Source organism: Homo sapiens, chromosome 10, assembly GCF_000001405.40.
Source record: "Homo sapiens chromosome 10, GRCh38.p14 Primary Assembly".
NCBI classification, from domain to species: Eukaryota; Metazoa; Chordata; class Mammalia; order Primates; family Hominidae; genus Homo; species Homo sapiens.
The window spans coordinates 122,173,220-122,198,236 of record NC_000010.11 but is presented as its reverse complement, the minus strand read 5'-3'; the positions used below and the strand labels follow the sequence as shown (position 1 = coordinate 122,198,236).

The window sequence follows — 25,017 nt, the reverse complement described above, 5'->3', positions numbered from 1 at the left end:
TGGTCCAGGCTACAGCCCTCAGGACAGGCTCATGGGACTGCTCTGGCCCACACATCTTCCATCCCAGGGAGCCCAGACACGCTGGTAGGACCCAATGTAGGGCAAGTGAGTGCTTTATAAAATGTAGGTTGCCAGGGGGAAAAACCATCTTTATTCACAGCCAAAGGTGTTGTGTATTAATTCACGTGGTTCCCACAGCACCTTTCGCAACATCCCGGGCACTGTGCAGAGGAAAGTAAACAATAGATTTTCCCCTGGTACCCTTCTTTCCTATGGTTGAGAGAACAAATCTTTCTTCTCCTACAGCCACCTACACTAGCAAGCACAGCTGCCTTCCCACGCCTTCGTAATGCCCCATGCTGGTCTACAGAATGGACGAGGGGACCCTCCGCCTGGGAGGCGGTTTTCTAACCAGGGCAGCAAATCAAATGGATCTTTGTACAGCCCAAGCTAGGGGGGCTTTCAGCAGACACAGTTCCAACCGTAAGTCTCCTGAGTGTACAATCCTCACACAGCTAGCCTTGCTGCCGTTTTCAAAGGAGGAGAAACATAAAGTCCCCGTTCAAACACTCCAATTGGTGTAATCCAAGGTTCTGAGGGGCTGTGACTCCACAGCAATTAACGTTTCCATCCCCTTCCCTGGTGGGGGTTATCTTTTAATCCTCAATAATGCTCATTCTTTTAGTAACTGCCATCTAAGAAAAAGATGGATGTTGTGCGTGTTCGTTTTAAGAATGGAGATTGTTCTCTGCTTTGTTGAAAGGAAGTTAGGCAGAAGGAAGAAGGACAGGATCAAAGAAGAGAACAGAGTGGCATCCCATTCATCCCAGAGCTGGCAGGATGTCGGACTGGGAATCCCAGAAGACGCACCTGTGGCCACAAGTGGCCTCTCCGCACACTCCTTGGTGCTGGGGATGGTACATGCCCTATAACATGCTATCATTTTCTTCTAAACATTTGTTTGTTTGTTTATTTTGAGACAGAGTCCGGTTCTGTCACCCAGGCTGGAGTGCAGTGGCATGGTCTCGGCTCACTGCAACCTCCACCTCCCGGGTTCAAGCGATTCTCCTGCCTCAGCCTCCTGAGTAGCTGGGACTACAGGCGTGCGGCACCATGCCTGGCTAATTTCTGTATTTTTAGTAGAGACGGGGTTTCACTATGTTGGGCAGGCTGGTCTCGAACTCCCGACCTCAGGTGATCCACCCTCCTTGGCCTCCCAGAGTGCTGGGATTACAGGCGTGAGCCACCATGCCCGGCCAAGCATAGTTTATTCTTTGTTTTTTTGTTTTTTTTTTTTTTTTTTGAGACGGACTCGCTCTGTCACCCAGGCTGGAGTGCAGTGGTGTGATCTCCGCTCACTGCAAACTCCGCCTCCTGGGTTCACACCATTCTCCTGCCTCAGCCTCCCGAGTAGCTGGGACTACAGGTGCCCGCCACCACGCCCAGCTAATTTTTTGTATTTTTAACGGAGATGGGGTTTCACCGTATTGGCCAGGATGGTCTCCATCTCCTGACCTCATGATCTGCCCGCCTCGGCCAGAATAGTTTATTCTTAATCACACATTTGACCTAGAGATTACAATGTGTTTGTCATCCAGCCACTTTCCATTAAAAATTATGGGTAAGTTTTTAAAAATATTACGAGAAATACAGTTTTATATGCTTGGTCATACAAAATAAAGGAAGAGATGCAAACGATGCTCTGAGAACTACAGACAGCCCTCCTGGCTCTTCTCTACTTTCAAATCAAAGAAATATCCGTCACTATCCTCCCAGAGTCTGGCATCTACACTGACTCAGCAAAATCCAGACACTGCTGCAGACTGATGAGCCGTCAAAGACGGGGGACATGGGAGCAGTATTCGGCAGACTCCACCAAAGGCATCAGCTCTCATTAAAACTGTCCTGCCCCCTTGTCCCAGCACGGGGGTTTGCTGGTTTAGGAACAAAGCTCCGGGAGTGTACATCCTTTCCAAAACAACGGGCTGCTCGAACCCACGGCGGATAAAAAGAATTCCACCCATTTCTTTCTAAAACCAACATCAAGGTCAAAATGTTATTGTATTGTTCAGTTTACCTGGCTCCTGGCCAGGGCAAGTACACAGTGGAGGCACCCAGCCCCATCCTTGGTTCCTTCTCAGGTACAGTTTGCCCTCGGGAGGAAGAGCCAGAGAAGGGGACGAGGGGGCCCCTGGCAGTGGCCGCTCCCAGGTATCCAGCGTGTGGTCTAGAAGGGGTTTGGCCCTGCAGACTTCTCATCACACGGGAAGGCTGTGGGCCAAGGAAGGCCAAAGTGGGGTCCTGTAAGTTGTGGGGCCCAGAGCTGTCCAGGCCCAAGGACAATACCACCTGGGCCCCCTGGCCAGCCTGTGGGACCATTTCTGGCAGGCCCTATCTCTTCCAGTCTCCTGTGAATCTTCCATGTGAGAGGTGGTTCTCTGTGCTGGTGTAACTGGGAGGCGCAGAATGCATGCCCCACAGGGGTGGGGTGGGGACGAGATCTATTCCACCTGTCCACTAACCACCCGTCTAAAAGGAACATAAAGGTGTTTTCACTCACACTAAGGGAGAAAGTTGTGGGAAAGTGATATGAAATCAGGTGACACGAGATTCATGAGGAATAAACAAACCACCATGATCTGCTGTGAATGTCTACCTCTCTATCCCCGCCCACTGACTACCTTCCTTCCCCAAGCCTAGTGCTGGAAATACACATGTAGATTCACAGGCCTGTCCACAGCTAATGTTCTTAAAAGAGCAAGGGGCCAAGTGCTGGAATCCAAGACTGTGCTGTGAACTTCCGAGACCCACTGCCCTCCTCCAAACCCAATCTCCCCAGAGGCCCCCCCTAAAATTCTGCAAAGCAAATGCAAAATAATCCAGTGTATCTGTTCACCCTTCATTTTCAAGAAAACTACAAAAGCCACGTCAAGCACAACTCAAAGCCAAGAGGTCGAGTCAGTGCTCGCCTCCAGCCTGACCCAGGAGGAACTGCTGCAAATCTCCCCCAGGGCTCACAACTCTACAGGGCTGTCTGGGGGCCTCCCTGCCCTTGGTTACCTGGTTCTTCCGGGGGTGGCTGTGTGCTGACCTCGGGTTCTGGGATGACTTCGGGGGGTGGTGGGGGTGGAGCTGGCGGAGCTTTGACAGGGGTCGTTGACTCCGGGGTCTCAAATGCCTCTTCAGAATCGGAACTCCTGATGAGAGAGGGAGAAGCACAGGTTAGACAGGGGCCCAGAGCCAGTTCTGCTGAGCCGGTGTGGCCTTCGCACCCAGAGCCAGTGGGTTCTGGCTCGCTGCTCAGTTAAACTGTGCAGGGACAGATGAGAGGAAAGTCATTTTCTCAGTCGTGATTCCTAAGGTTGAATCTTATCACTGGCTCTGATTGCACACAAATGATGTATTCTTTGAACTCGGCTCTACTGGAAATACACGCTTCTCGCCTTAGTGGCAAATACACACACAGCGGACTCTGGATGAACTTCCGCACGCGTTCATTATTAGGTATTGATTCAAATAGAGAGAGAGAGGCATTCTGCATGTTCGATGCCATTGTGCCAACTCACCCACATGATCCCACCCCATCATCCTCTCTACTGTCCTGCCTTCTCAGCGCCTCTCATAACTTGTGAGTATAGACTTATTCTAGTAGTGTTTACTGTCTTTCTCTTCTACGGAGCTCAAAACACAGGAGGGCAGCCGGCCTTGTTTATCACAGTATCTCCAAGCCTACAGTGGAGGGCCGGGAATGAACATGTGTTGAGTGGGTGAATGGAGTGAACGAAGGAAGCCAGCAAGCCGGCCAGGCAGAGGGTGCATCAGACCAAGACACAAAGCACGGCCACCAACCCCGACACAGTGAAAATGGCCCTCGCTGGTCTGCAGGAAAGTCTGTTCTCAAGGAAGACTCTTCACCCAGAGAACTGGACCAAAAATCCATGTGGAGAAACTCTGCCCACTAACAAGGAGAGGCCACTGGCCAAGCCTTGGCCTGGGTTGAAGAGGAACCAACAGGCCAGGTGCGGTGGCTCATGCCTCTAATCCCAGCGCTTTGGGAGACTCAGGTGGGAGGATCGCTTGATGTCAGGCATTTGAGACCAGCCTGGGCAACACAGTGAGGCCCTATTTCTATAAAAAGATAAAAATAAAAAATTACCCAGGCTTGGTGGCATGTGCCTATGGTCTCAGCTACTAGGGAGGGTGAGGCAGGAGGATCACTTAAGCCCAGAAGTTTGAGGCTGCAGTGAGCTATGACTGTGCCAGTGCATCCCAGCCTAGGTGATAGAGCAAGACCCTGTCTCTTAAAAAAATAAAAAGAAGAAAACGAAGAACCAACAGACAGCCCTCCCCATCACCCTGCTTCCACCGGTGACTCAATTTTAAGCCAGAAAGAATAAGGCTTCCCCCAGTACTAAGCCAGCTCCACCTATGCTCAAGATGCCCAAGGGCCCACGGTCCTGAGCCCAGCCTTGCCTTGGAGAACAGCTAGCCTGGCAGCAGCAGTCGCAGTTGGGCTGAGTCCCATTTTGGAAGGGTTAAACAGACTGAAATACTGATTTATTCATTTGCAACGAGGGGGCTAATTATTAAGAGAATGGAAACTTAGAGTGGCTGAATGGCACGAATGATCCCAGCAAGCAAATCTGGTGAAGACATGAAATCGGGGTGACCTGGCAGGTGAGTACGGACAGTGTGTGCACCAAGCTGCACCGGTGTCACCGAGCCGTGCAACCCAATGCTGAGAGATGCTCACGTTGCTGAGCTTCCAAAAAGATCAAAGAACCAGGGACCCCAGTAGAGGCCACCATCTTCTAAAGACCACCAGCCAGCTGGCAGAGAGCACCAGGAACCAAACCAATCCCTCCACTATCCACTGGGACCTGAAGAAAGAGCTATTTGGTGAGTTCCCTTCAGAAAATCTGTATCAATGCTTTTACAACTAGTTTGTCAGTGACTTACTTCATCAGCACCCTTGCCCCTCCACCCCCCAAGGACCTTGGCTCCTCCAACCAGCCACAAAGCCTCCAGGGAACCAAAGGGTTTAAAAGAAACATCATAGCTGCTTTTGATGGGATCCAATGAGCCAAACCTAGTCTACTATTAAATTTCATGAGGAAATAATTCATGCAAACCCAACAGAAGATACTGACTTCTTACAAACACTCATTAATATCAAAGGGCTTAGCTTTTGTCTATGGGGAGAAGGAAAGATCCGCACTTGCACAACAACAGATCGAGGTACCTGAAGCATCTGTTTATCGGTGTGGAAAACAAAAGGAGGTCACACAACTGAGGAGCAAAGAAGAATGAGAGTTCAGATCAGCCTGGCGAGCCCTGGGTGCTGCCCCGGGTGCTGCCCCGGGAACCCAGCTTCCTCACCAGGCCCCCAGCACTGCACCATCATGAGCAACACTGACAAGATACACAGAGATAACTTGCCTTTTTCCAGAGTCTCCCTGAAGCACCAGCAGACTGGAGTCCCCACTGCTGGTCACCGCTGTCCACATCCACCGGGCCCATTCCACTGGGGACCACCTCTGCCAGGAGGCATAGGCCATTTCCGCTGAAGAACAGCCTCTGTCCCCCAAATTCCCACCCCTAATTCCCCTGCTCGTATCTCTTGGACCTAAATCTCTTTCAATGTCACCAAAAAAGTTAGCTGCACCACCGGCCACAGATGCTGTGAGCTTCTCCAGCGTCCGGAGGCCCCGAGGCTGCCCCACTCAAGCAGAGATTCGAGGAAAGCCTGAGTACTCGTCCATCCCCTGGCTTCTGCATTCCTGGGCACTGGCGACAGCAGGCTCTGAAGCACAAAGGGCTCTGCTCTTTCTCAACAGCACAAGCAAGCAACAGGGAGGGCCGGATGCCCCTCGGTTCTAGCCCCTGAATTCCAATGAGTTCTCCGCTGCAGCAACTGCCCAGCCTGTGCACCTGCTCAGAGGGACCGCCGTTCACGATCGCCCTGTGTGGAAGGCAGAGCATGGGGTGGGCCAGGGCACACCAAGCCTCTTTGTGGTCCCTTGCCTGTTTACTATGAACGATCTCTGCATCAAAACACCAGGGACCACCACAGACCACGAGAATGGCATTCACTTCCGGTGCTGCCTGTCTTGTTTTCATATTTCTGAACCCTCTCTTGGGAGCAGACAGCAAGTTAATTAGAGGAGGTGGATGGCAGCTTTTTTAATTAGCTCTTTTTTCCCTATCCAGTTTCCCAGGGGCTCAAATACATTTCTAAGAGCAAGGATTTCGGCAGTCCACCCCCAACGAGTCTGTACATAAAAATAAAGCAGCACTTTGGAGGCCCAGTGTATAAGCACAATTCCCACCGGCTGTTTGATATTTCTTTTCCTACTAGAAAAAACCCAAAGTACAAGAAATTATTCTGTTAAGGCTCCACACATTTTAAAAATGAAAGAAAAGAAAATTAATTTAATTTGCTACAAAAATGTAGCAGAAAGAGAAATGTTGTCATTACAATCTGCTGAAATATCTCTAAATTATAGGCAAATATATTTATCAGACTATGCATATGCTATGTCCACCACAGAAGTAAATATGCAAATGCAATAAAATATCTATATTTCTATAGTGTAAACCAACCTTGTCCAACCCACGGCCTATGGGCTGCATGCGGCCCAGGACAGCTTTGAATGCGGCCCAACATAAATTCGTAAATTTTCTTAAAACACTATGAGATTTTGTTGTGATTTTTTTTTTCCAGCTCATCAGCTATCATTAGTGTTAGTGTATTTTATGTGTGGCCCAAGACAATTCTTCTTGTTCCAATGTGGCCCAGGGAAGCCAAAAGATTGGACACCCCTGGCTTGTAACACTTTAATTCTCAGCATGAAAAGCATGATAATTACCAGCATTTGTTGAATATACTGTTATGTGTCGGGCACAGGAGTAGGCCCACTGTACACACATCTAAGGTCTTCAGAAACGTCCTGCCTAGCCAGGTATCGTGGTGCACACTTGTAATCCCAGCTACGTGGAGGCAGACTCAGGAGGATCGCTTCGTCCAGGAGTTTGAGACTGCAGCAAGCTATGATCGCACAACTATACTCCAGACTGAATGACAGAGCGAGACCTCGACTCTTAAAAAAAAAAAAGGGTCCTGGCTGCCAGACAGCAGGCCCATTTTACAGATGAGACAATTAGGCATTAGAGGTGCAAATTCCTTTGCCAGAGGCCGTATGGTTACTAAATGATGGAAGCTAAGTCTCAAATCCAGAACTGCCTGTCTCTAAAATCTGTGCCCTTTTCGCTACATCTGTGGCTTCCAAACATTTTCAGCAAGCTCAATTTACAATATGCTTGTAATAGCATTTTACGATATGTAATGTAATAGCAATTTACAATATGCTTGTATAAGGTCCATCATCGAGAGCAATTAAGTTGTTTGGAGGAACTCAAAAACCTGACACTGGGGGCTGGAGACATGAGGTAGCCGGATGCCCGTTGGTTTCTCCCCCCGCTGCACATCACTGGGAAGAGTCCTGAGATGCACCCATGAGTCATCACAAACAGCCCCTGATTTTTAACGGCCTGTCCTGTGTTCATGCAATAATTTTTAATAAGGCAGACAGGGCAGGAGGGTCAACCAGCTGTACCAACCGAATTAATCTATCCGTACCAGGCAATCAATGTGCTAATGGTATCCAATAGCACACAGTGCGGTGTGTACAACCAAGCAGGAAAGAGGGAACAACGTAACCCCAGGTGGGGACAGACTGTGCTGGCCACGAAAACAGGACCCTGCCGAGCTCCTCGACTGTGTACTAGTTCGGCTTAAAAACGTTTTTTCAAGTACTTTCTTGGTCTCTAGAGTCCCACAGAGCACAGTCGGAAAAGCTCTGCTCCACACAATGCTGAATTAAACACCTCCACAGCTGACACACCGTGTGAAAGAAGGGCGTGGAAATTGGCCCCAAAGCAAGAGTCAGGTAGCTGGAAAATGCAGACCCTAAGAGCCTATTTCCCTGTATTTGTGATCTGGTTTAAATATTTTCAGGTTTTTACTTCTATGAACTACGACAACAAAATAGTTTAAGATCAGCATCCACACACATACATAATATACACATACACACATATATACACCCATATGTGAACATGTGAGTATATCTCTAACTAAAACATAAGCATCTTGTAATAAAGAGGTACTATAGATATGGTTCCCAGTATATCATTAAATGGTTACATTTGCTCAAGTTTTACTGGAGATAATTTAAGGGCTTGAAATAATAAATTGCAAAGGCCATAAAATCTTGGAAGTTGGAAGAAAATTTAGAGATCATATCCTATTCCAACACACTTATCCCAGCTAAAGCCCAGAGAGCTAAAGTGGCTCGCCCAAGGTAACCAGCCCATTCATGACAGCTAGAGCTGGAAATTCCATAGAACCAGGCCTACCTTCATGGAGCACTGCCTCCAAACAAGAGCCTTTGCTCTAAATACAACACTCATCCTGGAAATCTAAAGTTTATATAACATTTGAATGTTACCTGATTATCAAGAAACAATTCCTTCTTGAGCATTGCTTAAGGGGAAGAGGATACTTCCATATTCGAATCCAGGTCAATTCCTTAGAATTCCACTTTGCAGCTCCCAACATGAAAGTGATCTGGGAACTGGAGGGAGGGTCTTGGGACCACTCCTCAGAGTGAAAGAACACAGTGCAGGCCAAAGACAGGGGCTTCCTTCTTCTGAGCTCCCCTCCTCCTCCCACCTCTTTTTCCCTTGAAGACCAAGCCCAGGTAAAAGCAACAGCTCTGGACAAAAGCCCTGGTCGGGGAAAGCCAGCCAGCATTGTCCAGGCTGAAAGAGCAGCTGCCATCCCTGAAGAGAGAGGGAGACCTTCCAGAAACAAAACTGAGCCCTCGGCGACAGATCAGACAGTCTCATTCATCTCTTCATCTTGTGTAAGGGTTTGAGGACTCTGTGAGTAAATGGATATTTTTGAAACTGCGCATGCTAGATTCTATTCAACAAAATATTCCGCTGAATGAGACCTTCAGATAGTCTTGCCAATAAAAGCTTTCCCCTCCCCAATCTCTGCACACACACACACCTCGCTGGCATAAAACAGTATGATCAGACCGGTCATTTTTTTTAAGGGCTGACAAACTGATCTTTCACTTCAATTCATCCATCCTGCATATACAAAAGGAATTGCTCTGTTGTATCAATATTTAGCTAAATAAGAACATGATTTCAACACAAGCAAATGCCAAGACCCATCTTGGACGGTCAGGTGACTGAGAAGCAGCCAGCCAGGTACTGCCTTCCATGAACAAACACCAAGCTAGCTCTGGCAAGCCAGGCTGCTAGAATTTTCCAGGCTGACACCTACGGCTGCCTCGCGAAAAATCAAAGCAGATGACAACACATTTACCCCGAGATTCCCAGCAGGTCCTATTTTCAGAATCAAGTAGCTATCACTTCGTGGCTATGTTGTGATGTTACTGGGGTTCCCGGGGCGCTGGCCATCGCCGTCCTGACCATCGCTAGGTTATAGCAGCAGCATGACCAAGTGGAAAGAGCACTGCAGATTGAGGAGTCCCATGCCTGGGTTATGGCCAGGTGTTAATTGAATACAGTTGCAAGAAACAGGAACCCAATTCTGAATTTAAACTAAAGCATGGTCAGGCACCGTGGCTCATGCCTGTAATCCCAGCACTTTGGGAGGCCAAGGCAGGCAGATGACCTGAGGTCAGGAGTTCAAGACCAGCCTGGCCAATATGGTGAAACCCATCTCTACTAAAAAAAAAGAAAAATACAAAGATTAGCCAGGCGTGGTGGCGCATGCCTGTAGTCCCAGCTACTTGGGAGGCCGAGGCAAGAGAATTGTTTGAACCCGGGAGGCAGAGGTTGTAGTGAGCCAAGATCACACCACTGCACTCCAGCCTGGATGATAGGGCGAGACTCTATCTCAAAAAAATAAATAAATAAATAAATAAACTAAAGCAAGAATGGGATTTACTGAAAACCCAAGGAGGCTAAGGAACCACATCTGAAGAGACAGAAATGAGGGCACTTCAGTCCTCCAACCATTTTCTGGATCTCAGCTCACGGTTTAACTTCCAGGGAGGGAGTATCTACTTGGCTCCTCTTGGGTCTCTTGGCTGGAAGAGGGTAGGGAACCTTAACAAAGGAGCAACCTGCTGAGACTCAACAGAATGGGGAGACAGACTTCCCCAAAAGGCAGGCAGGATGTGGAAGGGAGGGCAAGCAGTCCACAAACAACCATAGTCTACTACAGGATGCCTCCCAGCTCCCCTTGACAAGCACATGACCTTAGGCAAGACACCTGACCTCCCAGGCCCTGGGACTGTCACATAAATGGGGATATTAATGACCATAAGGATAATGCCTCCCCATTATTATTGCAGCTCTGATCTGCCCTTGGCCTCCAAGCATTAGAAATTTGGGGAAATAAGGGCTGGGCACCGCGGCTCACACCTATAATCCCAGCACTTTGGAAGCCCGAGGTGGGACGAATTACCTGAGATCAGGAGTTCCAGACCAGCCTGGCCAAGGTGGAGAAACCCTGTCTCTACTAAAACTACAAAAATTAGCTGGGCGTGGTGGCAGGCGCCTGTAATTCCAGCTACTCACGGGGCTGAGGCATGAGAATCACTTGAACCTGGGAGGCAGAGATTGCAGTGAGCCAAGGTCACACCACTGCACTCCAGTCTGGGCGACAGAGCGAGACTCTGTCTCAGAAAAAAAAAAGAAAGAAAGAAAAGAAATTTGGGGAAATGTAATTCTGCTAGCAAGCAGACCAAGTCCTCTATTTTACTTGGTCAAAGCTGCTGAGCTGGACAGGAAAGAGACCCTGGAGGCCAGGAACAAACTGTGGCTGGTGCTAAGCCAGGCCACCTGTGGACACCAGAGTGTACCGAAGAAAGGGCGAGCTCCGGGTAGTGCTGAGGTCAACTTCATCCTCCCCTCAAGGGGCACACAACCAGGTCCAGGGCCAAGGGACTGCTTCCAGAATGAAGGGGGCTCAGTGTGGCACTGTGCCCATGTGGGTGTGCATACATGTGTCTGCTGAAACTCACTCCTCACTCCCCAACACAAACATACTTAGTTTTGAAATTGGCTTATTTGTGACAATACCAGGTTCCTCGCAAAAGAGAAGTGACTTTCTAGTGGCTGAGGGCCCACTGCAGGAAGCGCAGAGTGACACTAAGCCGGCCCCCACACCCTGGGCTCATGATTTCACCGATTTGTAACTAGATCCTGCTACGCCTTCCTGGAGAAAGGCCAGACTGAATCAAGTGTCAGGAGAAATAAAGAAAAAAGAGCCTCGGACCACCCTTTTGGTTTCCTTGCCTTCGCACACAGATCTCCCCAAAATCTCTTTGTAGCTAAACTCCTTGATTAACTTAAATTGGAATCTTAAAACTCAGGTTTGGCCGGGGGCGGTGTCACATGCCTGCAATCCCAGGACTTTGGGAGGCCACGGTGGGCAGATCACTTGAGGCCAGGAGTTCGAGGCCAGCCTGGCCAACATGGTGAAACCCCATCTCTACTAAAAATATAAAAATTAGCCAGGTATGGTGGCGGGCACCTGTAATTCCAGCTACTCAGGAGGCTGAGGCAGGAGAATTACTTAAACCCAGAGGCAGAGGTTGCAGTGAGCAGAGATCATGCCACTGCACTCCAGCCTGGGTGACAGAGCAAGACTCTGTTTCAAAAAATAAATAAATAAATAAACTCATTTTATCCCCCCAGAGACTGAGTCTTGCTCGTCACCTAGACTGGAGTACGGTGGCACAGTCACAGCTCACTGTAACCTCAAACTCTTGGGCTCACGAGATCCTCCTGCCTCAGCCTCCCGAGTAAGCTGGGACCACAGCTGTGTGCCACTACACCCTGCTGGTCTCAAACGACCCTCCTGCCTCGGTCTCCCAAAATGCTGGGATTATAGGCATGAGCTACTGGGCCTGACCACTAAAGTGAGATTCTTAAAAAATATAATAGAAACTGAGTTACTTGGCCAGGCGTGGTGGCTCACACCTGTAATCCCAGCACTTTGGGAGGCCAAGGCGGGTGGATCACCTGAAGTCAGGAGTTTGAGACCAGCCAGGCCAACATGACAAAACCCTGTCTCTACTAAAAATACAAAAATTAGCCAGGCGTACTGGTGGGCACCTGTAATCCCAGCTACTCGGGAGGCTGAGGCGGGAGAATAGCTTGCCCAGGAGGTGGAGGTTGAGGTGAGCCGAGATCACACCACTGCACTCCGGCCTGGGCAACAAGAGCGAAATTCCACCTCAAAAAAGGAAGAAAGGAAAATGAGTTACTTATGAATACTAATAAGAAAAGAATATAAAACTGAATTCAAAAAGACACAGAAGGAGCTTTCAACAAGTTGTCATTAAAGTCCTTGTATTTTCTCTAGAGAGGAGAATTACAGTAACATCCTACCTATTCACAAGCCACTTAACAAGCAAACCAGTACCCCCTTACCCATCTGAAACACAACCAGGACCCCAGAAAACACAAACATTTCTGTTCAACCAAGTCATGTGACACAGAGCTTGCACTAAAGGATCCTGCACATTACTCAATAAAAAGCTCCACCTGGTCTTCTCTGAAAAAACACACTTAGCCTTCTCTTACAGTCTAGTCTAATAGGTTTGGTATCTGGTTTCAGAATCCAAATTAAATGAGAAGGGGCAGGGTAATGTTGGAGGCAGGCACATAGATAGCACTGATAAAGAGTATGGCCAGGTGCGGTGGCTCATGCCTGCAATCCCAGGACTTTGGGAGGCTGAGGCGGGTGGACCGCTAGAGGTCAGGAGTTCGAGACCAGCCTGGCCAACATGGAGAAACCCCATCTCTACTAAAAATACAAAAAGTAGCTGGGCATGGTGGCATGTGCCTGTAATCCCAGCTACTCAGGAGGCTGAGGCAGGGGAATCACCTGAATGAACCCAGGAGGCGGAGGTTGTAGTGAGCCAAGATCGCGCCATTGCACTCTAGCCTGGACAACAAGAGCAAAACTCAAAACTCCATCTCAAAAAAAAAAAAAAAGAAAGAAAAGAGTATGTGATAGGCCAGGCACAGTGGCTCACTCCTGTAATCCCGGCACTTTGGGAGGCCGAGGCAGGAGGATTGCTTGAGCCCAGGAGTTCCAGATCAGCCTGAGCCACATGATGAGATCCCAGCTCTACTAAAAAAAAAAAAAAAAAAAAAAAAGAATAAGTGACAGAGGAGACGGAAAAACCATAAAGAAGATGCAAGAAATCAAAGAGCAGTCAGCTCTGGCCAACCACTAGAGCTTCCCCAAGCACCTGGCAGGGGACAGACCCCCCATCGCTATCACCCCTCAGTAACATAATGGCTGTTAACGAAGGTGAGTGGGATTGCATGTACAATCAGGATAACTCCCAGTTAGGTGATAAGTAGGAAAAAAAACCCAGCAAATTAAGAAATGTGTATATAATATGAGCTTATTTCAGATAATTATATATAAACTTACACAAAGATACCTAAATACATATGTATATTCACGTACACAGATGTCTATGTACAGACACACACACATAAAAGCAACACATAGGTGCTGTTTATGTAAGTCAGAAAAAGATATTTAAACACGGGTACCAGCAACAAGGTTGCCTTCGTACAAGGGAGGATGCAGGCCCCAACAAGGCAGAGCTCAGCCACACTGCTGGGGACGCAGGGGTCTCCCCAGATGTGCTCAGCAAGTTCTTCCAAATCTCATCCAGGTCCTGGATACAATACACGGAACCCAGCTGGGATCCGGTTAGCTGGATTTTGTCCAGGGCAACATGGATTAAGGGAAGGAGCCAACAAGGAGTTTGGAAGAAACAGAGGAGTGACAAAAATGTAGCTGTCCCCCTCTGCACTGGCCAGGGAAGACACACCCACCAGGGCACCCCCCCACCCCCAGGCTGTATTATCAGGGGTGCCTCGGGGACCCCCTCCAAGTGCTCCCCCAGCCAGCAAGACACATCCATTCTGCATCGGAGGCTGATGTTCCACACTCACCAAGTGTCCTTCCGATTCCAAGTGTGGTTTCTCAGGCAGGTACCCAAGGACCAGGATGGGGGTGCCTCAGCCAGGGGCTGCGAAGTGTCAGGAATGGGAATAACCCCACGGCCGCTCACCTCAGCTGACATGTTACCGTCCCTCAGAGCTTCCTCATGACTGATCCTTACAACAGGAGAGGCACATGGGTATCATTCCCTGACTATTCACGGTTTCAGAAGGACCTATTTATTCCCCATCACCTGCGGGCACCTGGGCTGGTGAACCAGACAGATAAGCTCCCACTCTCAAGATGCTCAAGTCCTCCTGGGTTCTGAGGATGAGAACTTGGAGCCAAGCGGTTCAGCATCTTGCCTGAGAGCTCAGAACCACTCAGGGGCAAGGGCAGAGCCAAGACAGGCATACGTGTCTTCTGAGCCTCAGCCTGACCCAACTGCCCTCCCCACTCACGGAGGCTCCTGTATGTGAACAGGCTGGAGTCCTTATTTGCAAATCAGTCTCCAGTAGGTTTGGCAGCTGCAGTTTCCCAGAGCAACCTCTCCTCCAGGGGAACGAATCAGCAGAGTTTCTGCATCTAGATCCATAGCAGCCCACGGGGGCAGCCAGCCAGGACCTCCACCCTATTCTTTTGGCCCTTTCGCTCATACAAACAAGGAGGGGGTGTCTCACATGTCTATGCCATGCCATCCCAGCTGCAAAGGCCTGAGATTCTTGGAACCCGCAGGGAGTGACATGGGAAGGCTGTCACATGGAGGTCTTCCCAGACCTCTGCAGGAAAGTCAGGTCAACCCTGAATTCTGTTACTCTCATTACTCACATCCTGGGCAAAGGGCAACACCATCATAGAGCCAACGGGAGACTGAGAGGATGACTAATCTCAGGGTGGACTCTTGCAAACAGGAGGCCACAGGATTCAGAGCAGGAGCAGGTATGGCCTTAGAATCCTGGCTCCTAAGCCCCCACCCCCTGTTGTTTTTTTTGTTTGTTTTTTTGTTTTTTTTGAGACAGAGTCTCACTCTGTTACCCAGGCTGGAGTGCAGTGGCGCAATCTTGGCTCACTGCAACCTCTGCCTCCCAGGTTCAAGTGATTCTCATCCCTCAGCCACCCGACTAGCTGGGATTACAGGCACGTGCCACCACGCCCATCTAACTTTTTGTATTTTTGGTAGAGATGGGGTTTCGCCATCTTGGCCAGGCTGGTCTCGAACTCCTGGCCTCAAGCGATCCACCCACCTTGGCCTCCGAAAGAGCCAGGATTACAGATATGAGCTTAGAAGCCACCAGGCCCGACCTGGCTCCTAAGCTGTTTACATCGAATGTATCTTCACCTATGTGTCTCTGTGTGTCTTTGAACCTGCCTCTGACTCTACCTGCGCCTGAGTCTCCGCCTCTTGTATATCTACCTTTCTTTCTCCACGCCATGCCCCCTCACTCTTCTCCCTATCTAGTCAAAATGAAGAAAAGCACATCTGGAAGCTGCCCTGCTGATGAGAATCCCGCTTATTCCAGCAATAATTAAAGCTCACGTGTTTTGACTTTATAACTCGTCATTTAGTTTTGCCTTAAAAGCGGTACTTCAACACCTTGCAAATATGGGGAAAGGATTTGAAGGCTCTTAGTGCACAGGACAATCACGCCCCTGCATTCATCTCTTGGTAATGTTTCTCTCCGTGGAAACCCATTACTGAGTCCTGCTGAGAAGTCATTGTTTTTAACAAACACAGACACACCTTACATGCAGTTTGCAAACCAGTTGGCTAAATCCCAAGCAACTCAGAAATCGTGGTGAGCTCCTGGTGGGAGCCAAGCAGCTGGAATTTTAATCAGGCATCACACCCTCCCTGCCATGGATAACATGCTCCTGAATGAGGCCTTCAGAGGCCTGAAGCTTTGCCTGATTCAGAGAGAACCTGCGTCCAGAGCAGGTTTCATGTTTGGTCTATTTCACGCATCCAAAAATTGATAGTTCTCAGGGTCCTGCCCAGAGTAGCTGCTCAACAAATACCTCCCACAGCGTTTCTCCCTAATCAAAAAGGCAAACTCTCCAGAGTTCTTTCCCTGCTCTGCTAAATATGGCAACCTGTGGTCTACTGTGTGTCTCAACGAGTCTCAATCATGATTTGGCACATAGAAATAAAGTGAGCAAACCCAGATGTGGGATGGAGAAGCTACAACAGCTTAGTAGAAAGCCTGAAAATCTAGAAAGTCTTAAAAGCTTATTTTCTACTGCAGTCTGCAAGCAGTGCAATAAAGCAGTACAATCACGAGGAAGGAAGACTTAAATCTTTTGTTCCTTTCTTCTAACCTCTTTACATGATAAAAAAAAGAAAAAGAATAGCTGGTAAACAGCACACTAATTGTAGGGAATAAGTATTGTTCAATGCCTTGAAAATGTGCTTTTCCTGCTTCCGATGTTTTCACACTGTTCTCTCATACATAATGCAGCATCCTCAACTCACTCTTTAACCCACTTATTAAAAATTCTGAAATGATAAAGTCTAAATTAAAGCACTTAATATACGAATTACACGATTCTGACATCTTGTAGGAGAAAACAGCACCACAGCCATCAAATATGAGCATCAACTGATCTGGTTCCAAATTCATGAGAGGTGAGTAACTTTGGACAGGTTACTTAACATCCCTGGACCTCAGTTTCTTTGTCTATGCAATGGGCAACAGTAGGTAGTAGATGGGTTGCTTTCAGAGCTGAGTTTATATTTGTAAAGCACCTTGCACAATCCCAGGCACTTAGAAGGTATTTACTGGCTCCAGTCCTCAAAGTGTTAAAATTCTACCACCAAAATTATTGCATCTTTCACCTTAACACAATAAAGAAACATAAAGCACGGCCATGCTCCCAGTAGCCAGGGGACAGCTGTACCAATGATTCATGAGTTTACAGAGCGATGCAAAAAGAATGTGATTTTCTTGCTCTTCCCACACATCCAACAATGCCCCCTCCAACATGCACACACAGACACATACTGCTAAAGTGGCTGTGGGCGAGGAATTGTAAAACTAAGCAATAAATTTCACTTGAATATTTACTGAATTAATTCACAGCCACTCAAGAGAGAAACTGTAATCAGCCAAACAGAAGAAGGGCTGGCTGGCATTGTTTGTTCTAGGCTCTAGGATGCCTTAAAATTTCTCCCTCTTGGCCGGGCGCGGTGGCTCATGCCTGTAATCCCAGCACTTTGGGAGGCTGAGGTGGGTGGATCACCTGAGGTCAGGAGTTCAAGACCAGCCTGGGCAACATGGTGAAACCCTGTCTCTACTAAAAATATAAAAATTAGGTGGACATGGGGGCGCGTGCCTGTAATCCCAGCTGAGGCAGGAGAGGCTGAGGCAGGAGAATCGCTTGAGCCTGGGAGGCAGAGGTTTGCAGTGAGCCGAGACTGCGCCATTGCACTCCATCCAGCCTCGGCAACAGAGCGAGACTCCGTCTCAAAAAAAATAAAAAATAAAATAAGTTATTCCTCTTGCACTCCCTGGGAAGGGAGGCTTCTCAAAGCTGAGACATGAAGAGTGAAAAAAGAGTCAGTCATTAGAACTCGAGGGAAGAGGCCGGGTGCGGTGGCTCATGCCTGTAATCCCAGCACTTCGGGACGCCGAGGCAGGTGGATCACAAGGTCAGGAGATCGAGACCATCCTGGCTAACATGGTGAAACCTCGTTTCTACCAAAAACACAAAAAAATTAGCCGGGTGTGGTGGCGGGCGCCTGTAGTCCCAGCTACTCGGGAGGCTGAGGCAGGAGAATGGCGTGAACCTGGGAAGCGGAGCTTGCAGTGAGCTGAAATTGCGCCACTGCACTCCAGCCTGGGCGACAAAGCCAGACTATTAACCCAAAAAAAAAAAAAAAGAACTGGGGGGAAGAAAGTTTCAGGCAGGGAGAACAAAAAGATGAAGAGCCCTGAGGTGGGAGGGGGAAGGAGGGTGGCAGGTTCAAGGAATGGGCTTCAGGCCATTTAAGAAAACAAAGCAGGCAACGAGGAGAAAGTTTGCCAGGAGACCCAAGAAGCAGGTAACAATGACAATGACCTGGCCTCGCTGAGACCCATGAGGAGTCTGAAAGCCACTGAGGGTTACACGGGGAAAGGACTCGCCTGTTTTTTTGGAGACACCGTCTCACTCTGTTGCCCAGGCTGGAGTGCAGTGGCGCAATCATGGCTCACTGCAGCCTCGACCTCTTGGGCTCAAGCGATCCTCTGAACCTCAGCCTCCTGAGTAACTGGGACCATGGATACACGCCACCACTCCCGGCTATATTTTTTTTTTATTTTTTGTAGAGATGGTGGCTCCCTATGCTACCCAGGCTGGTCTCAAACTACTGAGCTCAAGTGATCCTGTCGCCTCAGCCTCCCAAATAACTGGGACTACAGGTGTAAGCCACCACGTCTGCTAATTTTTTAAAAACATTTTTTGTAGAAACAAGGGCTCCCAATGTTTCCCAGGCTGGTCTCAAACTTCTGGGCTCAAGTGATCCTCCTGCCTCGGCTTCCTAAAGTGTTGGGGTTACAGGCATGAGCCCCCAGGCCTGGCCCCTGAGTTGTTTTTAGAAGGCCATTCTGACAGCTGTAACAACAGCAGCAGGAGCAGGAGTGGAAGAAGGGTATGGAGCTTGCTCGCCTCCAAGGTGAGAAGTGGCCGGGTTTGTGTCACACATAAAAGTAGGGGTTAAAGTGAAGGGCATCAAGGAAAGATCTGAGATCCCAGCATGTACTTTTGCAAAGTTTTGGCTAAAAAAGGCATTGCTTTTTACTTGCGCTATAATTGATACCAGGAAGATAATAGCTTTTTCTTAATTCCAAGAGATTCTGAATCCTTTATATACTGGTTGATTGAAGAGTAACAAAAATGTCAGAGCCATAATCAGTGGTTTAAATACGACAAGGCAGATAAGTAATCTCAGATTTCAATTACATATCAGAGCTCTAATGAGCAGATACAATTTCCCACATCACATAAGCATCACAGTCTCAAGGTTAAGAGTTTAAATAGATGCTCAGACCTGACCTTCTTGCTGACGAACTACTCAATTTCATGATAAAAGAAACAGGATAAGGTATTGAAACTGACAGCAGTCACCTGGCTTTTCCTCTTCATCATGATTTTCAGCCCTGACTTATAAACATGCTTCAGCGTTTTGTTACTTTCATGGCAAGGTGTTCAAGAGCAGCTTTGTGCTTTGTTTTCTCAAAGGCTCCAAGTTTTCCATTATCTCAATGTTCCTGCTACTTAAAAGTCATGCTTCTGGTTTCACTTGGAATTGTAATGTAAATTGCTTTAAAAACAGTAGGGGTTTATCCTGTGTTTTGTTTTGTTGAGACAGGGTCTCACTCTGCCCAGCCTGGAGTGCAGTGGCCTGATCACCACTCACTGCAGCCTCAAACTTTAAGGCTCAGGTGATCCTCCCACCTCAGCCTCCGAGTAGCTGGGACTACAGGCGCACAACCCCATGGCTGATTTTTTGTAATTTTAGTAGAGACGAGGTTTCACCATGTTGGCCAGACTGGTCCCAAATTCCTGGCCTTAAGTGATCCACCTGCCTTGGCCTCTCAAAGTGCTGGGATTACAGGCGTGAGCCACTGCGCCTGACCCTTTATCCTGTTTTCTTAACTCAGCACAGGATGCGCTGATCAAACATCAGAAATAACGAAGAACTGGCAGGGCGCGGTGGCTCATGCCTGTAATCCCAGCACTTTGGGAGGTCTAGGAGGGCAGATCACCTGAGGTCGGGAGTTTGAGAGCAGCCTGACCAACATGAGGAAACCTTGCCTCTACTAAAAATACAAAACTTAGCCACGTGTGGTGGTGTGTGCCTGTGATCCCAGATACTAGGGAGGCTGAAGCAGGAGAATCGCTTGGACCTGGGAGGTGGAGGTTGCAGTGAACAAAGATCACGACACTGCACTCCAGCCTAGGCGACAAGAGCAAGACTGTCTCAAAAAAAAAAAAAAAAGAAAGAAAGAAAAAAACCCTTATAAAAGAGGCCGTACAGAGACCCCTCACTCCTGCCACCATGCAAGGACACAGCAAGAAGGTGCTATGAGCCAGAAAGCAGGCTTTCGCCATAAGCCAAATCTAACTTCATCTAAGACTTCCCAGCCTCCAAAACTGTTAGAAATAAATTTATGTTATTTATAAGCCACTCAATTTATGGGATTTTGTTGTAGCAGCCCAAAAAGTCTAAGATATCCAGAGGTGAGCTCAGCTATCCTATCATTGTATATTAAATGTTGTCCATCTTCGATCTTGGCAGACTTGCTTACTGACACCTGAACCCAGGGTAAATCCAGGGTTCAGGGGCCTCTCAGAGGCATGAAATGCTGCTCCTTCACCTCCTCAGTGAATCTGGGGCATGTTGTTCTACCCAGGATCTGGAGCTTCTAGCAGGGACCATGGCAGTTCTGGAAGGGCCATTCCCAAGTTTCGCCCCTGTACACCTCTGAAATCCACACTCCCAATTCTTTCTGCGACAGAATAATCCTGTTTGTTTGCGATCACAGATCATGGCCCCAGAGGCTTGGGCCTTATCTCCTCCCCAGCTTCATTCTCCTGCTGCTCAGAAAACCTTTCACCTCTGAGCCATCCACTCCCTGGGCCATCATTTTATTATTTTAGAGACAGGTCTCACTATGTTACCCAGGCTGGAATGCAGTGGCTATTCACAGGTGCAATCATTGTGCCCTGTAGCCTTGAACTCCTGGGCTCAAGTGACCCTCCTGCCTCAGCCTCCCAAGCAGCTGGGATTATAGGTTCATGCCATCATCCCTGCAACTCCATCCTCCCATCATTATAATTTTTAAAAGGCCCTGTGCACAAACATCTCATTGTTTTTCAAACTGCATCTTCCAAATGCAGTTGACTTTCTCTCTGTTCCAGCCTCCCTCCACTGCTCCTTCCAAAATGAGAATGCTTTATCTGAAATTCTTAAATTCCTACTGCCCTCCTTTTCTGTGTTGGGGCTCGGGACAATACCACCCCAAAATGCAACTGTAGGAGGCCAGAATATACCACCCCAAACTATACTTGTCATATTTGGGGCTGGTTATTCTGAGAAACTGCAGACACAGGAGTGGCTCTGAAAAGCTGCCCTTTTGTAAAACACAATGATATCCATCAAGAAAATCTACATTAGTAAAGTATCTCTATCAGGACTGGGGCTGCTCCAGGCAACTGTGATGTACCAAGAGATTTTATGGGCATAACAAGACCACATTTACTCACCCTACACTTCCTCCCCTCACTCTTCCATAACTTGTCTCCACCACCCACCAGAAGCCCCAGGTCCCTATTCCTTTCTGTGGCTCAGGGGGCTATATAAGCTTCCCTCTTCGGACCCTTCTTTTGAGTCTCATATTTTGTGGGACTCCCAGGCATATACACATAATTACTGTGTTTTTTCTCCTGTTAATCTATTTTATGTCCATTTAATTTGTAGCCCAGCCAAAGAACCTAGGTGGGTGGAGGAAGCCAGTTTTCCATCTCCCACATTTGCTGACTTGCTGTGACTAATCTCATTCAAATTCTGGCTTTCTAGGGCCACATCAGGCCTTTCAGCAGCTTGAATCTGCATGGTTATCTACAAGGCCACACATTCTACAGAGAAAAAAAAATCTATATTTGTCTACACATACAATGGGATACTAAGTAAAATGCTACGACTCTTGATGAGCTATGAGCACCAGCATGAGTCCCCTAGTCCCTCACAGAACAAGAGCCAGCCTATTCCCAACAACTCCCCTGTGGGAGCCTCTGATGCACAAAACCACTGTCCAACCGAGGGCGCAAGAGTCAAAGTTCTTTATTGACCAGGGAGGACCTGAAGGGAGAATTTCAGGAATGCCAATTTCCAAACAATCCTAAATGACAAAGCCAGCCTCCTACTTCTAAGAATAAGGACCCATATATTAAAAGAGCCAGACCTCTGAGTTTACAAATGTGAAAACTCAGAATGAAAGCCATCTTGAGTGGTACCCAATCTTCATCTGCAGCCACCATTCTACTTTGGCCTTTTCTATCTTACAACTTGACTACTCCAATTTCATCTTCATATATATATATATATATATATATATATAGAGAGAGAGAGAGAGAGAGAGAGAGAGAGAGAGAGAGAGAGAGAAGGTTTTGCTCTGTTGTTCAGGTTAGAGTGCAGTGGTGCAAACACGACTCACTGCAGCCTCAACTCCTGGGTTCAAGCGATCCTCCCACCTCAGCCTCCCAAGCAACTGGGACTATAGGCGTGCACCACCGCACCCAGCTAATTTTTGTACTTTTTGAAACAGGGTTTTGCCATGTTGCCATGCTGGCCATGTTGCACAGGCTGGTCTCTAACTCCTGAGCTCAAGCAATCCACCTGCCTCAGCCTCCTGAAGTGCTGGGATTACAAGCGTTGAGCTATTGTACCCGGCCCATTTTCTAATATTTTTGACCAATAAAATATTATCTCTGGATAGTGAGAAGATATTTCCCTGGTCCCTGAGTTGTAGACAATTCAGACAGTCTCCAGGAAAGTCCGTACCTGGTCACCCCTACACCTTCGGTTCCTTTCCTCTCACAGGCATTTAAGCTCTGAATTTTTGAAAGCATAGTCACATTTGAAGAAGTGGAAGAAAAACAGTATCCAGAAAAATAAAAATTCACATAATTTTGAGCCTACATCGAGAAATGCAATATGTGAACCCAAGGAGTGAGCACAAAGAACAGAAACTGCATTCTGGACAGAACGGGGTCTGGGCAGGTTTGTTTCTGAGGATTAGCACGGGAATGAAGGGGTTTCCTTGTTGTTACAAACAGTTCAGGAGTGATAACTAATGTATCCTTTCCCATATTAACCAATGTATCCTTTCCCACATTAACTAATGTATCCTTTTCCACAATGCATCAGTGTTTCAGTGTTTTTCTTCACCAAGAATTATGCTGTATTTAAAATACAAAGCCAGGCCAGGTGCAGTGACTCATGCCTGTAATCCCAGCACTTTGGGAGGCCAAGGCAGGAGAATTGCTTGACCTCTGGAGTTAGAGACCAGCCTGGGCAACATGGCAGAAACCTCATCTCTATAAAAAATACAAAAATTAGCCAGGGGTGTCCCAGCTACTAGGGAGGCTGAGATGGGAGGATCATCTGAGCCTGGGGAGGTTGAAGCAGCAGTGAGCCATGACTGTGCCACTGCACTCCAGCCTGGGCAACAGAATAAGACCCTATCTCAAAATAAGTAAATAAAATTTAAAAATAAATGAAACCCACAGTGATCGCCTTTTCATGGGGAATCTGAAATAAAGCCAAATTCATAGAAGCAGAGAGTAGAATGCTGTTTACCAGAGGCTGGGACATGGGGGAGAGATGTTGGTCAAAGGCACAAAACTTCAGTCAGCTAAGAGAAATTAGTTCAACTACTGGTTAGTTCAACAGTTAGATCTATTGTACAACTTAGTGACTCTATCTAGTCAATAACAATGTGCTATATACTTGAAAATTGGTAACAGAGTAGATTTTAAGTGTATTCTACACACACAAAAAGGAGGGGAGGTAATACATTAATTAGCTTGATTTAGCCATTCTACAATGGAATTTTTATTTCTCAATTTAAAAAAAAACAGGAGCATAGTGTTTCACGAACGTTTTATGCACCAATTCTTCTCCTGGTTCCCTAAACGCTTTATGCATTCTCTTTCTTACCTACAGAATTCTTTAGCAACAGAGAGGGAGACACGGGTGGGAGGTTAATTCCATTTCACCGACATCATAAATGAGGCCCTGAATGCCAGTCTTCTCAAGCCCATGGAGTGAGTGGGCACTGTCATGTGCCCAGAAACCTAGGGCAGGTCTGCGCTGAGCCAGTGCCATTGCCCACTAGCTATTTTTCTGGGAGGTATTGCCAAAGCGTTGCACTGTTCTTAACAGCAGAGATCGCTGGCTAAGGCTGATCTGGGCAGGCTCTATCTTGGGAGTGCTGGCTGAGTTTACCAGGCACACCCTCAGCCCCTAGGCCACCTGTCTTGTTGGTCCAGGTAAAATATGCAGGTCACAGATATGGACTGATAGTTGCACCCAGTGGAAAAACAAAGAGGAAATGGAGAAACTACAATCAGGACAAAGAACCCTTGGACAGTCCACCGAGCCCTGTGGCATGACCAGGACAAAAGGGACAGTCCCATCCCACAAAGGGAGAGAGGAGGCGGGCAGAAGAGCTCCGCTGGCCGCAGCCTAGGCTTGGCTTGGCTCAGCCCAGCCCAGCCTAGCCCACTTCCCTGTCTATGGGAGCAGGTGGCTGCTGGCCCCAGGTCATGGAGCCTGGAACGTGCATGGGGCTGGAGGGTAAGAGCTGTGCCCCCAGAGAGGGGCTGGCTTTCATGGTGTGTGCTCCATAGCAGGCTCAGCCATGCTCTTCCCTTATCTGTTACCAGAAAGGCTGGGCAGGAAGGACATGAAGAAGGAAGACCTCTGGCTCCTGAAGTCCTGCTTCCCCTCATCTCGCAGGGCAGGCAAAGGACCACCTTCCACAGACATGTTTTCCTTTCTTGCCTGGTGCTCTTCCCCACTGACCCCAGGGCCATCAGCAGCAGGGCTCCTGGGAACACAGTGCCACATATGACCACACTCCTCCAGCCTCTTGCCTCTTCTGTGTCTCGTGTCACTTCTCTTAGGCTGTGCCCTGGCACGTAAAGATGCTCGTGACAAGTGCCAGATCTGGAAGTTGCCCAGGAGCAGGTTGCCTCCCACAGCCTCCCCAGTTAGGGCAGGAGACTGATCTGAGCTGTTAAGGGGCATTCGTGGGCCAAGCCAAAGCCCAGGGCGTGGAGCCCCGCTCTCTTTTCAGACCCCAGCCTGGCTCTGGGTCACTGAGGCTGGGGCACAAACTTCCCCAGCAGCTGGAAGCCAGTATGTCTGCCAAGGAGGTTGCAGAGAGGATGAGGCAGCCCCAGGAAGCCACAGGAGTAAGTCAGCTGTTCTAGATCAAAGGTGATTCTAAAAC

The 25,017-nt window shown here is 48.1% G+C and overlaps 1 protein-coding gene across 55 annotated transcripts in view, besides 5 other annotated features; it reads right to left on the bottom strand.

The window, feature by feature from the left end:
- Positions 1-25,017, bottom strand: part of TACC2 (transforming acidic coiled-coil containing protein 2) — a 265,380-nt gene that overhangs the window by 56,306 nt on the left and 184,057 nt on the right. For all 55 annotated transcript variants that reach the window (NM_001291877.2, NM_206862.4, NM_001438366.1 and 52 more), the window contains one exon: positions 3,061-3,197. In NM_001291877.2, coding sequence (NP_001278806.2) covers positions 3,061-3,197 — 137 coding nt within the window. The remainder of the gene's footprint in view (positions 1-3,060; positions 3,198-25,017) is intronic.
- Positions 1,735-2,397: an enhancer, noted in NCBI's record as "H3K4me1 hESC enhancer chr10:123955355-123956017 (GRCh37/hg19 assembly coordinates)". NCBI's record gives its function as "activates a minimal SCP1, AML or CMV promoter by ChIP-STARR-seq in primed H9 embryonic stem cells {active_cell/tissue: H9 hESC(primed)}" and the evidence as "EXISTENCE:reporter gene assay evidence [ECO:0000049][PMID:30033119]".
- Positions 4,944-5,699: an enhancer, noted in NCBI's record as "H3K27ac-H3K4me1 hESC enhancer chr10:123952053-123952808 (GRCh37/hg19 assembly coordinates)". NCBI's record gives its function as "activates a minimal SCP1, AML or CMV promoter by ChIP-STARR-seq in naive and primed H9 embryonic stem cells {active_cell/tissue: H9 hESC(naive and primed)}" and the evidence as "EXISTENCE:reporter gene assay evidence [ECO:0000049][PMID:30033119]".
- Positions 17,364-17,901: an enhancer, noted in NCBI's record as "H3K27ac-H3K4me1 hESC enhancer chr10:123939851-123940388 (GRCh37/hg19 assembly coordinates)". NCBI's record gives its function as "activates a minimal SCP1, AML or CMV promoter by ChIP-STARR-seq in primed H9 embryonic stem cells {active_cell/tissue: H9 hESC(primed)}" and the evidence as "EXISTENCE:reporter gene assay evidence [ECO:0000049][PMID:30033119]".
- Positions 18,978-19,515: an enhancer, noted in NCBI's record as "OCT4-NANOG-H3K27ac-H3K4me1 hESC enhancer chr10:123938237-123938774 (GRCh37/hg19 assembly coordinates)". NCBI's record gives its function as "activates a minimal SCP1, AML or CMV promoter by ChIP-STARR-seq in naive H9 embryonic stem cells {active_cell/tissue: H9 hESC(naive)}" and the evidence as "EXISTENCE:reporter gene assay evidence [ECO:0000049][PMID:30033119]".
- Positions 23,806-24,377: an enhancer, noted in NCBI's record as "H3K27ac-H3K4me1 hESC enhancer chr10:123933375-123933946 (GRCh37/hg19 assembly coordinates)". NCBI's record gives its function as "activates a minimal SCP1, AML or CMV promoter by ChIP-STARR-seq in primed H9 embryonic stem cells {active_cell/tissue: H9 hESC(primed)}" and the evidence as "EXISTENCE:reporter gene assay evidence [ECO:0000049][PMID:30033119]".